General features: G+C 35.4%; 1 protein-coding gene across 14 annotated transcripts in view; it reads right to left on the reverse strand.

Moving 5' to 3' along the window:
• SMC6 (structural maintenance of chromosomes 6) overlaps positions 1-18,540 on the reverse strand; it is an 89,999-nt gene that overhangs the window by 18,477 nt on the left and 52,982 nt on the right. For all 14 annotated transcript variants that reach the window (XM_017004916.3, XM_011533108.4, NM_024624.6 and 11 more), the window contains 4 exons: positions 17,920-18,090; positions 14,001-14,138; positions 12,864-13,009; positions 1,350-1,475 (listed from right to left, as the gene is read on the reverse strand). In XM_017004916.3, coding sequence (XP_016860405.1) covers positions 1,350-1,475; positions 12,864-13,009; positions 14,001-14,138; positions 17,920-18,090 — 581 coding nt within the window. The remainder of the gene's footprint in view (positions 1-1,349; positions 1,476-12,863; positions 13,010-14,000; positions 14,139-17,919; positions 18,091-18,540) is intronic.

An 18,540-nucleotide genomic window follows, 5' to 3' on the forward strand; every position in this document is an offset into this window, starting at 1 on the left:
CTATCAGATAGTGACTATCAGGTCATTTGACTAGAACTGCCTGCTAGTTCTAGGAAACAAATTGAACCCCACCAATGCCCCACACTGCTCTTCACCGACAGAGGACAAAGGAGTAGAAATCAAAGTGGAGCTGTTGCTCTTGTTTCAGGAGCTGGAGCTGGGAATCTGGGGAGGCAAAATAAACTCCAGAGGATCTATAAAGGGTTCTGCTCCAGTCTTGAGCTGAGTACTGGTCAGTGCATAGGTGTGAGGACACCATTTGAGGCTGGGAAAAGAAATATCCAAAGGAAATAGAAGTAATTCCGACAGCTCACACACGACCAGGAATAGTTCATGTTCTTATTGGCCAGAGTGAAAACCTTGTGATTTACAAGGTATCGGTAGAGTACTCAAAATAGCACTGCCTCAGAGGTAGGAAAAAATTAGCCCACAACCAACGGCTGCTCTAATCTCATCTAACAAGGCTAAAAGTAGCCTCAAAAGGGTAAAAATGGGTCCTATTTAATTCAAGCCCTACTAATATGCCTGTAAAACTGAAACAGGAATTTCAAAAACTAACCTGTAGTTTCACTAAGGAATATAAGAGCTAGGTACCTTTTTTTTTTTTAATTTGTACAAGCTTAAGATGGTAGAATTTTTGGTGTAAAGACAGTTTTAAAAAGTGTATTACTGAGGGAATTTGCCTGGAGAAAAACAGAGGCAAATGGAAGGACTAGGGCTGTCTCGGATTCATGTATATTAAAGGACCGTCCCTCCCTATCAATTATCCTCTGTTTATTTCTGTCACTTGTGATCAGTTGGAGTCAATCTATCTCTGTGAGTCTGTACATCTCTGGATATGTTAATATCCAGTTTCCCTAATTCTGTATTCATTTATCCAACCAATGTATATTGGTATGTATCAGGTATGATTATAGAAACTAGAGATACAGCAGTAAACAAAACAGAGTTTCTACATTCATGGAGCTACGTCATTCTAGTAGATTATGGTAAATCAACTGAGGTATTACCTTTATAGTTCCTACCAAATGCTTGTATCCATTAAAAACATGCAATAGTCAAGGGTAAAATAAGCTATTTTAGAACCAATGAGTTCCCTTTCAAAGGACCTATTTAAGCATAAAAGACCTATTAAGCATAAAGAATATCTAACAGAGTGGAAAAGTTGGATAAGCTCACCATAAAGAGCCCTTCAGATTCGGAATTGTCTGATTAAATTAGAGAATCCTAAGAACTGAATAACAAAGCAAGCATTAATAGTCTCTGCTATAACAGAATTATATAAATAATATGAAAACAGAGAAACACAAAAATGTATAATATATAGTAACATTTTTCAATGTACTTACCTTCTAAATTGTTGATATGTCTTGAATCTGTGCTCCATGATTTCTCCCAGTAATTTAATAAACTTTTTTAAAGTCCTCACTTTACTATCCAGATCAAGATAGGTCTCTCTTGCTTCTTGGTACTGCCTATTATATAAACAAAATATTACGTAAAAAATACACCACACGTAAAAAACATAACAGTAGAATCTCAAACAGATTTAACTGGGAAGAACAGGGAGGGGCAGAGAGTACTAAGGGGGCCTAGTAGCAGTCAATTTCATAAATTTCCAGGCAAATTACACTCCCAGAATGAAAGGGTGGTACGGAATAAGAAAGTGCTATCCTGACAGGGAAGGAACAAGGTCCAAGCCCTAGAGGAGGCAGAGACAGTGTGTGAACAAATGCCCTGGTACGGCCTAGAGGTGGCAGATCTTAGAGAATACTAGCAAATACACACCTTCAAAAAGGGAAGGGGTCACACTGGAAGAAAGGTTTCCTTCAGTGACAGATGCCAATAAAAGAAAAAAAGAACTCAAGCCAGCATTAGAATCCACCCTCCCCTGTCCTAAACAAGATAAGATCAAAGAGGCAGAGATGGCATGGCTACTCAGAGTGCTATTACAAAAGGCAACAGCCTATTACTGTGGCAAGCCTATAACTGAATTAGCATGAAAGGCAACCCTGGTCGAGGCTCCCACAGCTACCCTTCCCATTCTCCTTCAAATAACTGGCCCAGGAAAATTCAACTAATTAAAAAAATAAGTAACAAAAAACGCGCTGGCACAGCATCCAGATATTTATGGGGAAAATATGAAAAAGAACAGCAAAACTCTCCTACAGACAAAGAAAACTTATTAGAACAGTGTTGCCACAAAGCAGATGAAAATTATAATTGAACACCATAAATTAAAACAAAACAAGAGGCCAGTTGTATTGGCTCACACCTATAATCCCAGCACTTTGGGAGGCCAAGATGAGAGGATCGTTTGAGTCCAGGAATTAGAGACCAGCTTGGACAATATAGCAAGATTCTGTTTCTACAAATAATAAAATAAAAATTAGCCAGGTATGGTGGCATGTGCCTGTGGTCCCAGCTACTCAGGAGGGTGAGGCACAGGATCACTTGAACCCAGAAGTTCAAGGCTGCAGTGAGCCATGATTGTACCACTGCACTCCAGCCTGGGTGACAGAGCAAGAGCCTGTCTTAAAGAATAAAAACAAACAAACAAACAAACACGAACATTAGACAAGTGCTACCAGGAAGGAATACCTCAAAGCAGACATAAAAGAACTGAAAGAATAGATACACAAAAGAAGGTAATAATCAAACAAGAGGAGTAGGTAAAGCAAGAGAACCCACAGACGGGAAGGTAGGAGGGCTAGAACCTCCTCCTAAAAAGAACACACACAGATATGAAGACAAAATGAGAAGATGCATAGGAGAAAAGAGAAATGTGGAAAACACATAGATGGAAATAAAGAACATAAATGAGAAAATCAAGCAAAATGAAAAAAAAAGACAAAATGGTTAGACAAAATGATAACTAGAGAAGATATAGATATTCAACATAACTAAAGACCTCAAAAAAAAACCAAAACAATGAAACAAAATATTTTAAAGTAAAATTCAACAAATTTTTTAAGAACTAAAAGACTTAAATCTAAATATTGAAAAAGCAATGTTTAGCAATGAAAAAAATCACTGAATTCTAACATTCTGGATAAGTTACAGGACATAATAGACAAACACCAACATAAACAAGATGCTCATCAGGAGAAAAAGTATGAGCTAAGGATTTTATATTAGGTGAAACTATCCTTCAAACATAAAAGCTAAAGACAAATTCTTATCAACTTGTAAAACATAGAAAATATTCATACACACCATTCTCAAGCAAAAAAGAACAAACAACTTTTCAAATGGCTGCATAGTCATGTGGAAAAAGACAAAATCTATTCCTCACACCATACATAAAAATAAACTCCAAATAAATCACAGATATACAAAAATGGACATATAGAAGTACTAAAAAATCATAGGTAATTAGAACATGTGGAAAAAGGAATAAGAAAAAAAAATCATAGGTGAATACCTCCATAACCTAGATGTAGAGAAAAGCATTTTAACTATGACCCAAAATCCAGATGTAATCAAAGAATGACAAATTGAACTAAATAAAAATAATCTTTTCATGGCAAAAAATATAAATGCAAATTCAACAAAGAAATCAAGAGAAAAATCTGCAATATTTGGCTAATACTCCATATATATCTATATATATATATGTTAAAAACTTAAACTTTGAGGGGAAAAACACCATAGAAAAATAATTTTAAAAAAGAATAGATAATTCACAAGGTATAAAAATGATTCTTAAATATATGAAAAAATGTTGAGTTTTATTCATAATGATGGAATGTAATTAAAGTTACATTAATATACAATTTCTCAGCCATCAGACAGGCACAAATTACAAAGCGTAACTATACACTATACACTTTGTTGGCAAAGTTGGGGAAAAAGTATCCTTTCTCATACAGGTTGAGCATTCCTAATCCAAAAATTTGAAATTTGGCCAGGTACGGTATCTCACTTTGCTGCCTATAATCCCAGCACTTTGGGAGGCAAAGGCAGGAGGATCACTTGAGGTCAAGAGTTCGAGACCACCCTGGCCAACATGGTAAAACCCTGTCTCTACTAAAAATACAAAAATTAGCTGGGCATGGTGGCAGGTGCTGGTAATCCCAGCTTCTTGGGAGGGTGAGGCAGGAGAATTGCTTGAATCCAGGAGGCAGAGGTTGCAGTGAGCCAAGATTGTGCCGCAGCTCTCCAGCATGGGCAACAGAGTGAGACTCCGTCCCAAAAAGCAAGGCAAAAATCTGAAATTCAAAATACTTCAAAATCTGAAACATTTCGAGCATTGATATGATGCCAAAAGTGAAAAATTCCACACCTGACCTCATGGGACAGGTTGCAGTAAAAACGCAGGTACACAATGCAGTTTATTTATTCAGTGCCCCCAAGGGAAAAGAGACCTTCCTAGCCCCCTTCAGCTGTGATGTATCTTTTCTGTACATGTATGACATACATACATGGATATGTATGTTACATTTTTTACTAAGTACTTATGTGTGAATTAGTGTAAGAAAACGATTGCTTATATAAATTCAGAATCAGGAATGACAGTGATGTCAAACAACCACAGATTGTTTACATGGATGGCTAAGATAGTAACGTCTTCACTTTCTGATGATTCAATGTATACAAACTTTGTTCCGTGAACAAAATTATTTAAAAATTGCATAAAATTACCTTCAGGCTATGTGTATAAGGTGTATATAAAACATAAATGAATTTTTGTGTTTAGATTTGGGTCCTATCTCCAAGATATCTCATCTATATGCCAATATTCCAAAATCCAAAATACTTCTGGTTCTAGGCATTTTGGATAAGGAATACTCAACCTGTACAATGTTGGCGCAAATGCAAAAATGATACACACCCTATAGAGAAGGTTTGAAAATATCTAACAAAACCACTTACACATTTATGCTTCAAACTAGTAAAGTCACTTCTGGAAAATTACTATGAAGATACAGATTCGAGCACTTATATGATGCCACAAGTGTATCCAATAGCACACATATACATGTGTGCGTGCATGTGCAAGATAATTCACTGCAGCATTATCTGTAACTGCAAAATACTGGAAATAACCAAAATGCACACACACAGAATGACTGAATAAACTATGGTACAGATCAATGTGTGTGTGCAGACTCACAAAACAGAGTACAATGAAGCTGTAAAAAGAATGAGGAAGATCTCAATGAACTGATATGGAGTGATCTTCAGGTACATTGGTGAATGACAAAAGCAAGATGGTTGACTACCTTTTGTGAAAAAAAGTAGAGGAACCATGGAAAAAAGAAAACACATATGAACCTGCTTACTTTCACAAACAAATAAAAAACATGAAAGATAGAAAATAAAAAAGAACTGTTGCCTATAGGGAGTGGGCCAGGGGAAATGGTGTGGAAGGGATGAAAGAGGGAGAACATTTCCCTGAATATACTTTTGTTTATGGCTTTGACTTGTGAAACCATGTTAATTTCTACATATTCCCCTCAAAGAGAAATTAAATAAACAAGGATCAGAGAAAAATTGAATGTAAACAAAAACAAATAAAAGCATTTCTAAATCAAGTCAATTAATAACTACAACAATAAAGAAAAACCTAATCCAAATAACTTTAGAACAGAGTAAATTTACTAAATAGTAGAGAAAAAATAATTGCAAACACATCTTGAATGTTTTTCAATAATTTTCTTTCTGTAGATATATATTGTGGAACTGAGTAAATATTAACGTTGTTGAGAGCCAGAATTCCTCCTGTGGAGGAAAAAAAGACAGAAACAAGGAATAGGTTAAGGTTAAAAAGCCCTTTGTGGGACTGGACTGCCACTGGAGACACCAATACAAACTCACGTTTTTAATTCTGTTAACTGAAAGGTACTGGAAGAAATGCTACCCCAGCAACAATTAGCATCCCTAAAATCCAAATTTTGTTTTTAGGTATCATTCCTTAAAAAAAGGAACCAGGGCTCTTTGGAGAAGTTACTGACTCCAAGGCTGGGTCAGGTATAGAATGAGCTTGAAATATTTTGTTATGTCACAAAGTTTAAAAATGCTATTAAAAAAAAAAAAAAAACAAGAAGGAAAGCATGTTAAGAAAATGCAGGAACCAGCTTGAAGAGCCTCCATTTGACCAAAGATGGAACAATTTAAATCTTAAAATAGGCCATGCAGTGGCTCATGCCTGTAATCCCAGCACTTTGGGAGGCTGAGGTGGGAGGATCACTTGAGCCCGGGAGGGAGAGGTTGCAGTGAGCCGAGATCCTGCCACTGAACTCCAGCCTGGACAACAGAGCGAGACCCTGTCTCAGAAAAAGAAAATCTTAAGATAAACATGGACCGTAAATGACTATAGTCCATTGAGTAAAACAGAAATCTGTGGAAACTGAATGCAAATAGAAACATTTCCAAATCAAGTCAATTAATAACTGTAACAGTAGAGAGAAAAACCTAATCCAAGTAACTTTACAACACAGTAAATTTACTAAATACCAGAAAAAAAATAATTGTAAACATATCTTGCAGAGGGGATTTGGCAATAATTGCAAAGTCCATATTGCAAAGGCAAGTAAATAAATTAACAAATAGATAAATTGGAGATAACATAGGCTCTTCCTTACAAGTGACTGATAAATATGAAGGATGCAACAGAATTGAAAACTCCTCATTTTGCAAGCAGTATAGTAAAGATTCGTTCAGGTAAGAATCATTAGCAGAGGATAAATCTAGGGATGAAAATATGATGAAAAGCAGGATACTGGCAGGGTTGCAAAGTGTCTGTCTGCAGAATGTTTATTAGTTGCAAGGGAAAAAATAGTAAAGCATATAATGGAAAAACCAATTAACACCTTTACTGGGTGATCAAAATTAACATCATCAGTAAGAGAGAGAGAGAGAAATAGATAGACAGATTATGTGCCTCTGGATGTGATACCCAGAAAACGATACATCATCATTTCTGTAGCATCCTGGCCAAGAACACATATGAACCTAATTATAAGAAAAAATATCGTATAAAATCAAAACAAAGAGCATTCTGTAAAAGAGCATGACAAATGAAATACACGACCCTAGACTGCATCTGATATCGTAGGAAAGACGTGGAGAACCGTCAACATTGGAACTGGACTACAGGTATCAATGTTAAGTTTCCTGTACTTTATAACAGTATTGTGGTTATGTAAGATAATACTCTTATTCTTAGGGAATATATTGAAGTACTAAGAGGTAAAGGGTCATGATTTATGAAACCTACTTTTGAATGGTACAGAAAAAAAAGTAAAGTAATGTGAGTGTATGTATATGTGTGCATGTATACATGCTAAATATATATGGCCTTTCAATAATGTTTGAAGTTTTATGATTTTTGATAGAGCTGTCCCTCAGTATCTGCAAAGGAACTAGATCCAGGGCCCCCTGGGCAGATACCAAAATCCATGAATCCCTTTTATAAATGTCATAGTATTTGCATATAACCTATATACATCTTCCTGTATACTTTAAATCATCTCTAGAGATTACTTATAATACCTAAGACAATGTAAATGCTATGTAAATAGTTGTTACACTGTATTCTGTATTTTTTAAAAAATTTGTATTAGTTTTTACTATTGTGTTCTTTTTTTGTTGTTTTTGAGTTTTTTCCCCCAGTCTTTTCAATCTGTGGTTGGTTGAACCTGTGGATATGGAATCAGTGGATACAGAGAGCCAGCTGTATTTACAATAATGGATGCATGTCTATGGCAATTGGATCTAGGCAATTTCTCTATTCAATACATTATTAATTCCAAATGGGAAAATCCACTAGGATTAAAATTTCGTTTGAGCTCCAGTTGCTTCTTAAATCATTACTGCAATTATTTTACTTTATAACTAATAGAGAAATGTAATATGTGAGTGACTAGCAGACCATGGAATTAAAATTGATTTTGCACAGAAAAATAAATAGCTTTTGCTCAGGTTACTAAATTCACTGAATAAATTAACAATGAAAATCAGAAAGAACATCATAAAGCCACAATAACTAAAACAGTATGGTTTTTAAACAACTGCCTGTGGCCAGGTGTGGTGGCTCATGCCTGTAATCCCAGCACTTTGGGAGGCTGAGGCAGGTGATCACTTGAGGTGAGGAGTTCGAGACCTGCCTGGTCAACATGGCGAAACTCCAGCTCTACTAAAAGTACAAAAAATTAGCTGCACGTGGTGGTGCACGCCTGTAATCCCAGCTACTCAGGAGACTGAGGCAGGATAATTGCTTGAACCCAGGAGGCAGAGGTTGCAGTGAGCCAAGATTGCACCACTGCACTCCAGCCTGCAGAGGAAGACTCCATTTCAAAAAATCAAACAAACAAAAAAACCAAAAAAACAAAAAAAAACTCCCTGTGAATATATTATCACAAAATTAATTTAATTTTTAAAATCTGCATAATGTACCGAATAGACAAAAAAGTACATGAAAAGGTCATAGAAAAATAAATATAAATAAATGAAAAGATGTTCAACTTCACTCAATGTAAGAGAAACGTACATTAAAATTACGGTTAATTCTTTTTCTTGGGAAATCTATCAGAAAAAAGAATCTAAGAAGGCCACACGCTGTTTAGGCTGTAGGAAAACAGGCACTCTAACACATCGCTAATGGGAATGCAAAATTGGTACAATCCCTATAAAGGGAAATCTGACCATATGGAGTTTATACTACTAAAAAAAAAACGCTGAGTACATATAAAATAATGCGCATTCACTTATTGTGTTCCACCATTTGCAACAACAAAAGATTAGATTAAAACGCAGCTATCCATGAAAAGGAGATTATTAAATACAGTGAAATTATAAAAGACAATGAGGAAATATCTATGTACCAACATAAGAAGATCTTCAAGATATATCACTAAACCAAAACAGCAACTATTCACAATAGCCAAGATATGTAATCAACCCACATGTCCATTAATGAATGAAGAGAGAAAAATGTGTATACACACACACACACACACACACACACACCAGAATACTATTCAGCTACAAAAAAGCTATAAAAAAGCTGAATAGTATTCTGGTGTGTGTGTGTGTGTGTGTCTCTGTGTGTGTGTGTCTGTGTGTGTGTGTGTGTATACACATTTTTCTTTCTTCATTCATTAATGGACATGTGGGTTGATTACATATCTTGGCTATTGTGAATAGTTGCCGTTTTGAACCAACGACAAAAAACACATGACTCTCAATAGACGCAGAAAAGGCCTTTGACAAAATTCAACAACATTTCATGCTAAAAACTCTCAATAAATTAGGTATTGATGGGACGTATCTCAAAATAATAAGAGCTATCTATGACAAACCCACAGCCAATATCATACTGAATGGGCAAAAACTGGAAGCATTCCCTTTGAAAACTGGCACAAGACAGGGATGCCCTCTCTCACCACTCCTATTCCACATAGTGTTGGAAGTTCTGGCCAGGGCAATCAGGCAGGAGAAGGAAATAAAGGGTATTCAATTAGGAAAAGAGGAAGTCAAATTGTCCGTTTGCAGATGACATGATTGTATATCTAGAAAACCCCATCCTCTCAGCCCAAAATCTCCTTAAGCTGATAGGCAACTTCAGCAAAGTCTCAGGATACAAAATCAATATGCAAAAATCACAAGCATTCTTATACACCAGTAACAGAGAGACAAATCATGAGTGAACTCCCATTCACAATTGCTTCAAAGAGAATAAAATACCTAGGAATCCAACTTACAAGGGACGTGAAGGACCTCTTCAAGGAGAACCACAAACCACTGCTCAATGAAATAAAAGAGGATACAAACAAATAGAAGAACATTCCATGCTCATGGGTAGGAAGAATCAATATCGTGAAAATGGCCACACTGCCCAAGGTAATTTATAGATTCACTGCCATCCCCATCAAGCTACCAATGACTTTCTTCACAGAATTGGAAAAAGCTACTTTAAAGTTCATATGGAACCAAAAAAGAGCCCGCGTTGCCAAGTCAATCCTAAGCCAAAAGAACAAAGCTGGAGGCATCATGCTACCTGACTTCAAACTATACTACAAGGCTACAGTAACCAAAACAGCATGGTACTGGTACCAAAACAGAGATATAGACCAATGGAACAGAATAGAGCCCTCAGAAATAATGCCGCATATCTACAACTATCTGATTTTTGACAAACCTCACGAAAACAAGAAATGGGCGAAGGATTCCCTATTTAATAAATGGTGCTGGGAAAACTGGCTAGCCATATGTAGAAAGCTGAAACTGGATCCCTTCCTTATACCTTACACAAAAATTAATTCAAGATGGATTAAAGACTTACATGTTAGACCTAAAACCATAAAAACCCTAGAGGAAACCCTAGGCAAACCATTCAGGACATAGGCATGGGCAAGGACTTCATGTCTAAAACACCAAAAGCAATGGCAACAAAAGCCAAAATTCACAAATGGGATCTAATTAAACTAAAGAGCTTCTGCACAGCAAAAGAAACTACCATCAGAGTGAACAGGCAACCTACAGAATGGGAGAACGTTTTTGCAATCTACTCATCTGACAAAGGGCTAATATCCAGAATCTACAATGAACTCAAACAAATTTACAAGAAAAAAACAAACAACCCCATCAACAAGTGGGCGAAGGATATGAACAGACACTTCTCAAAAGAAGACATTTATGCAGCCAAAAGACGCATGAAAAAATGCTCATCATCACTGGCCATCAGAGAAATGCAAATCAAAACCACAATGAGACACCATCTCACACCAGTTAGAATGGCGATCATTAACAAGTCAGGAAACATCAGGTGCTGGAGAGGATGTAGAGAAATAGGAACACTTTTACACTGTTGATGGGGACTGTAAACTAGTTCAACCACTGTGGAAGTCAGTGTGGCGATTGCTAAGGGATCTAGAAATACCATTTGACCCAGCCATCCCATTACTGGGTGTATACTCAAAGGATTATAAAACATGCTGCTATAAAGACACATGCACATGTATGTTTATTGCGGCACTATTCACAATAGCAAAGACCTGGAACCAACCCAAATGTCCATCAATGATAGACTGGAAAATGTGGCACACATACACCATGGAATACTATGCAGCCATAAAAAATGACGAGTTCATGTCCTTTGTAGGGACATGGATGAAGCTGGAAACCATCATTCTCAGCAAACTATCACAAGGACAAAAAACCAAACACTGCATGTTCTCACTCATAGGTGGGAATTGAACAACGAGAACACATGGACACAGGAAGGGGAACATCACACACCGGGGCCGGCTGTGTGGTGGGGGGAGGGACAGCATTAGGAGATATACCTAATGTTAAATGACGAGGTAATGGGTGCAGCACACCAACATGGCACATGTATACATATGTAACAAACCTGCATGTTGTGCACATGTACCCTAAAAGTATAATAATAAAAATAAAAAATAAAAAAAAAGAATGAGGCCAGGCGTGGTGGCTCATGCCTGTAATCTCAGCACTTTGGGAGTCAGAGGCAGACAGATCATCTGAGATCAGCAGTTCAAGATCAGCCTGACCAATATGATGAAACCCGGTCTCCACTAAAAATACAAAAATTAGATGGGCGTCGTGGCATGTGCCTGTCTGTAATCCCAGCTACTCAGGAGGCTGAGACAGGAGAATCGCTTGAACCCGGGGGACAGAGGCTGCAGTGAGCCGAGATCACGCCATTGCACTCCAGCCTGGGCAAGAGGAGCAAAACTCCATCTCAAAAAAAAAAAAAAAAAAAAAAAAGAATGAAATCCTGTCATTTACAGCAACACAGATGGAACTGGAGGTCATTGTATTAAGTGAAATAAGCCAGGCACAGAACAACAAATCTTGCATATTCTCATTCATATGTGGGAGCTAAAAGAGTTGACTTCATGGAGGTAGAGTTGAATGAGGCACCAGAGGCTGCAAAGGGTGTGTGTCAGTGGGATGGGAGGGGTAATTAAAAGAGATTGGTTAATGGGTACAACCACGCAGTTAGATAGAATAAGTTCTGCTGTTTGATAGCACAGTAGGGTGACTTTAGTTAACAACAATGTAAGGAGATTTGAAATGTTCCCAACATAAAGACATAATAAATGTTCGAGGTGATGAAGATCCTAAATACTCTGATTTGATCATTACACATCGTATGTATGTATCAAAATGCCATATGTACCCCACTGGAGTATGTAATAACAACAAATTAGGTGGTCAATTAAAATTTTGACAAAATATGTTGACATACCACTAAATGCTTTTCAGAAAGACATTAATGGTAACAACTAATATACTATATTTCCCACATATTGTTTATGGATCATTTCATTTAATCTTCAGAACAATCCCCATTTTGTGAATGAGAAAATTAAAGTTCAGAGAGATAGCTAATTTGCCAAAGTCACATAAATAGGTGGTGGAAATGCAATTTAAATCAAGATACTCTTTCTTCAGAACCTGTGCTCTAATTATCAAGAGCATCTGTTTTTATCAGTAATATGAAAATATCCATTTCATTGAACCTTACTGACCTAGAATATTAGTGTTATTTTCATCCTATTCAATTTGATGTATTTGAAAAATGGCTTCTGTTTTGATTTCCATTTCTTTCATTGCTTATGAAGTTGAACATTTTCATGTCTATATGAACCTTATAGATACACGAAAGCATTTATGTTAAAATGAAATTCCATAATGAGTTTTGTAATAGTTCAGAAGAAAAAAGGTTACTATTTATTGAGAATAATACACATATAAAGGACTACTTCAGCTATAACTATTTGCTATAGTAACACTTCATTCAAATTTAAGACATGTATATGTTTTTCATTTTTTGTCTTGATGATATGCATGAATAATGTGGTAAAGCAGAAAAGCTACCAGCTACTTACCTCATTATTTCCTCTCGATCTCCATGACTAGCATGTTCTGCCTGTATCTTCTGCCTTAATCGATTAATTTCTTTGTCCAGAATTGATGCAGATTTTTCTACTTCTATACGCTCTGGGCAGATTTGTCTTGCTTGTGACATTTTCTCCTAAGAAAGTAGATGTTTATATCTTTAAAACTCTTCTTTGATATAACAATTCATTATACTACTTGTGCCAAAATCTGCAAAGTAAAATTCTGAACTCATTTTTAAGAAATGTATTTTAATTACATTTAATATCAATGTTATTTATATTTATCTAAGTTTTATATTGAAGATAAAGTCCAGAGTAATGACCTCAAGAGAAAACTGCATTGCTGTGTGTAACTAATAAGGTGCAAGATCTCCACAACTTCCTAGTGAAACAAATTTAATGCAGCAGTTACGAAAAGCTTGCTACCCAGGGCATCGAGGTGAGATGTAGGTTTCCACATCCTTTAGGGTTGACTCTGAGCACCAATGGTATTAAAAACACAAACAAAGACCCTCATGGGGTAAAGAATACAAGGCACTTTTACACATAGTACTTTTTTATATTCACAACTTTCTGTATTATTCTTAAACAAATGAGGAAAACAAGTAAGAAAATGAATTACAGAGTTTAGATCATTTTCCTTAAGATATAAATGCAAAATTGGAATCCATCTGTTCTGGTTAGGACAAGGTTGCCTTCAATTTATTCTCCTCTAAACACCGGGTCACTGCTTAGAATTGCCAATAGACATGTCTCGTAGGAGCTAAAATCTAGCCCGGCCCACAGCCCAACTACTCACTGGAAGGGGTGCCTTTTCCGGACACTCAAGGGCTATCCGCTTGCCAAGGTGGGCATCTAAGGAGCTATGTTAGCTGAAAGACAGCGCTACTTTCTAAAGCACTCAGAGGCATAATACAGGACTGTCAGAGTCTTGCCTATTTAAGTCCTCACACTCTGAGGGTCCCTAAGCCTCTTCTGTTGATTCACCCAAACACCTATTACTCTATATGAAACAGAAATTCAGACAACTTTTCTGTTTTTAGAAACATGACATTAGGGAAAACACACTTTAATAATCATGGCTAAGGCTGAAAACAAAATAACTTGAAAAAAATGGTGAAAAACCTCTAGTTCTTTCTCTTTCATATCCAGTTCTCGTTTCTTTTTATTTAAGGTATCCAAGTGTTCTTTTTGTTTTTCTTCATAATGTCGTTTCCCTCGTTTTTGGTTATCCACTTCAGAATCAGCAAGGTTTAATTCATCCTGTTTGAACAAAGCCAGAATAAAAGATTGTTTTAAAAAAATTTCCAGCATAGGTATAAAGATAATAAACAACTCGGTAAAGTGGCTAGGATTATGCTGTTTGAAGAGGCAAGTGTTATTATATCCATATGTGTCTGAATAGAAGTGAGGAGTTTCCCAAATTAGGAAGTCACATTAAATTCAAATTCTTATCTGAATTCCCCATATATTATGGTACTTTCAGTTTTATTCTAATAAACTAGGTGTTTTTGGGGGAATCCACATTAGCCTTTAAAAACTTAAAACAATGCAAGTGTTAGGTATTTACAGAGGACACCTGAAAAAGGATACCTGGTTTTAAAAAGGGTGGGTTCGGGAAAAAGCAAGGATGTGAAAAAATTTAACGCTGATTTATTTAGTCACATCTGGTATAACTTCACAATTTTGAGCATAAAATACAACTGGAAAGAAGCTATCCCAAGATCACTTTAAAAACAAACAGTAGTAGATATAAGGTAAAGATGCATACTATAATGCACGGCCACCACTGGAAAAATAAAACAAGAGGTATGGCTAAAAAACTGGGAGAAGAGATAAAGGAACACTCATAATTACTTGGTAATCTCAAAGGAAGGACATAAAGAGGGAAAGTATGAAGAACAACAAAAACAGGACAATTAAAACACAAATAGTAGCTATTACTTCATGATGAAATATAGAATGCTTTCTTTCTAAGAACAAGAGCAAGGTAAGGACTTCCAGTCTCATGGCGTCTATTCAACAATGTACTAAAGGTCAACAGTTGTTGGAGGTTCTGGATAGTTCAGTTAAAATAAAAGGAAATAGAAAGCATAACAATTAGAAAAAAAAAAGGGTAATACTGTATTTATACAAAAACAGATGATGGCACATAAATTCCAAAAGAAGAACTTCAAAACTATAAGTGAGTTTAGAAAGGTCACTGGATACAGGTCAATACAAAATTCAGTCATCTATCTATATACTAGGAATAATTGAAAAATGAATTAAAACATTTACTATACCATGAAAAACAGCCAACACATATCCAGAATATATAAAGAACTCTTACAACTCAAAAATAAAAGACTCAGAACCCAACTGTAAAACGGGCAAAGATTTAAAAAGACATTTCCCCAAAGATAAACAAATGGCCAATAAGAACATGAAAACTACCAAGAGTATTAGCCATAAGGAAAATGCAAATCAAAATCACAATGAGATACCACTTCTCACTCACTAGCATGGTTAAAATTAAAAAGGCAGAAAATAACCAGTGTTGATAAGGATGTGGAGAAATTGGGACATTCAAACACTGTTGGTGAGAACATTAAATGGTACAGTCACTTTGGAAAAGTTTCAAAGTTCTTCAAAATGAAGTGTAAGCACATAGCTTAGTAATTCCATTCCTAGGTATCTGAGACAAATGATAATACATATCTATACAAAAACTTGTACATGAATGTTCGCAGCAGCAGCACCCAAATGTCCATCAATTGATGAATGCATAAATGTGAACATGACTAGGCAATAAAAAGTAATAAAGTTCTGACACATGCTACAACCTGGATGAAACTTGAAAACATTATGCTAAGTTGAAGGAGCCAGTAACAAAAGACCACATACTATATGATTCTACTCATATGAAATATCTGGAATAGGCAATCTATAGAGATAGAAAGTAGATTTGTTTTTGCCAGGGGATGGGAACAGGAGAGAATTGGGAGTGTCTGTTAATCAGTACGGGTTTCTTTATTAGGCGATGAAAATGTTCTAAAATGGTGGAAATGGTTACACAACTCTGAATACATGAAAAATCATTGAATTATACACTTTAAATGGATAAATTTTACTGAACAATATATAAATAATGATTAGATCCTGTTGAGTTTTTCTATATCCTTGTTCATTTTTGGTATAGTTGCTCTATCAATTATTGAGGAAGTTCTATAAGATTTTGCTTCCCTTATGTTACAGCTCTAATATTTGTTGCACACATATTTAGAATTGCTATGTATTTTTGGTGGACTGAACCTTTTGTCATTACGTAATGTCCTTTTTTGTCTCTGGTAATTTTATTTTGAAGTCCACTTCATCTGATTTTAATATAGCTACTCTTGTTTTCCATTGATTATTATTTGCAAGATATACCATTTTCCATCCTTTTACTTTCAACCTGCCTATATGGCTGTATTTGAAGTGAGCTATTTATAGAGAGCATATAGTCATGTTTTAATCTACTCTGTCCATATCTGTCTTTTGTTTATTTAGACAAGTAAGTCTAAATTTAAGTCTGTCATTTTATTTGTTGTATTCTGTTGTTCATCTGTCTTCTCTTTCCTGCCCCATGTGGTTACTCCAACATACATTAAGGATTCCATCTCGATTTATCTGTAGTACGTTTTAGTGCATCTCCTTGTATAGCTTTTTTAGTAGCTGCTGTAGGTATTACATTATATACACCAAACATCACAGTCTCCTGGCATAATTATTTTACCAGTTTGAGAAGGATAGAAATCTTACCTCCCTTTTGTATCCCTTTTCTTTTCCCCATTTTAAATATAATGGTCCTAAATACCTCCTCTACATACATTTAGAATTATCTCAGATATTATAATTTTTGCTAGCCTTCTAAACATAATTTTTAAAACTCAAGAAGTAAAGTCTATTGCATTTTTTCCTATTTTTATCTCATTTTTTTTCCTTCCTGATGTTCCAAGATTCCCCCTTTTATTTTTCCTAACAAATTCTCTAAGTTTGCCTTTATCTGAGAATATCTTGAATTTTTCCTTTATTGCTTGGAAATATTTTTGGTGGACACAGGGTTGACAGGTCATTTCGCACTTGAAAAATGTGCCACTTCCATCTGGTCTCCATGGTTTCTGATGAGAAATATGCTGTCACACAAAAATCCTTTTCTATATAAGGTTTTCTCTTGCTATCTGTAAGACCTTTTCTTTAATTTCCAGAAGTTTCACTGTAATGTGTCTTATTGCAGATTACTTTGGGTTTATCTTGTTTTTGGTTTACGTACATTCTTTAATCTGTAAGTTTATGCTTTTTGCCAAATTTGGGAAGTGTTTAGCCATTACTTTTTTAAGTACTTTTTCAGTCATGCCCTCTTTTCCTTCACTTTCTAAGACTCCAACAATACAAATGTCAGCTATTCTGTTATAGTTTCACAGGTCCCTAAGATGCTGTTTGTTTGTTTCAGTCTATTTGTTTTTCTTTAGTTTATTTTTTCTCTGTTGATCAGATTTATGAGGAATAACAAGTGAATATTATGAAAAACTTCATGGTCAATTTTGTCTCAAAAAGTATGTGCTAAAAATAAAGTCAATTGAATTCAGCCTGAAACATAACTGAGATAGCTGACAAACAAGAGATGAGTAGTACTTTATTTCAAGTTGGCTTTTACAGCAACTAATCTTTGAGTTATTGAAGCAAAGCTGGGACAACAAGCAAGCACAGAGACATTGTACACGTACGAGACGTCTCTGCTCCTGGTTCTGATTTTTAAAAATCATAAAAAGGTGAAAAAAAAAAGCTATAATCCTCTAGGAGAAATGGAAATTTGGTGATTTATTCTCCTAAAGCCATGAACAGAAGTGTTTAATACTAATTGATCTAATGATGAAAGTTTGGTTCCCACCATTCTTTATATTCAATTTTTATGCTATTTACATTTAACCAAAAATTCTTTTAGGCCAATATCCATAGAGTACATGTGGATATAAAACTAAAACATAAAATACATACGTAACACAGTACCAAAAATATATACCTTAAGTGGGTCTGCTAGCTCCGATAGTTGATTAATTTTGAATTTAATTGCATCATACTTATTTTCTGCTTCTATTTTCAGACTTTTAAGATGCTCCATATTTTCTTTTTGTTGCTCCATATGTTCCTCAACCATTTTCATTTTGCTTTTATTTTCCTGAGCTTCATCTTCCTGATAAAATTTAAACAGCATATAAGGTTAATTAAAATACTTTAAGTTTTCAAATAGAAGAAACATAAAAATAATTCTGAGAGAGGAGAAACTATAGGCTATATGCAAATCAGATCAAATACAAATAGAACACTAGAATATTTTTATACTCTTAATGGTAAATTAGGAAGTAGAGGAAAACAAGCTGAAAAATCAGAAGGGATGATATTTAGGAGACAATATTCTGCTTAAGATCATAATCAAAAAGAATGACTTTCATTCTATTCATTTTTTCCAAACTATACAATATATATCTTGTGCCAGAGAATATGTTAGATGCTAAGTAAACAAACATAAATAAGATATTATCCATATGTTTAAGAAATTTAGTTGGCCAGGTGCAGTGGCTCATGCGTGTAATCCCAGCACTTTGGGAGGCCGACACGGGTGGATCACCTAAGGACAGGAGTT

The sequence above is a fragment of the Homo sapiens genome, chromosome 2 (assembly GCF_000001405.40).
Source record: "Homo sapiens chromosome 2, GRCh38.p14 Primary Assembly".
Lineage (NCBI taxonomy): Eukaryota > Metazoa > Chordata > Mammalia > Primates > Hominidae > Homo > Homo sapiens.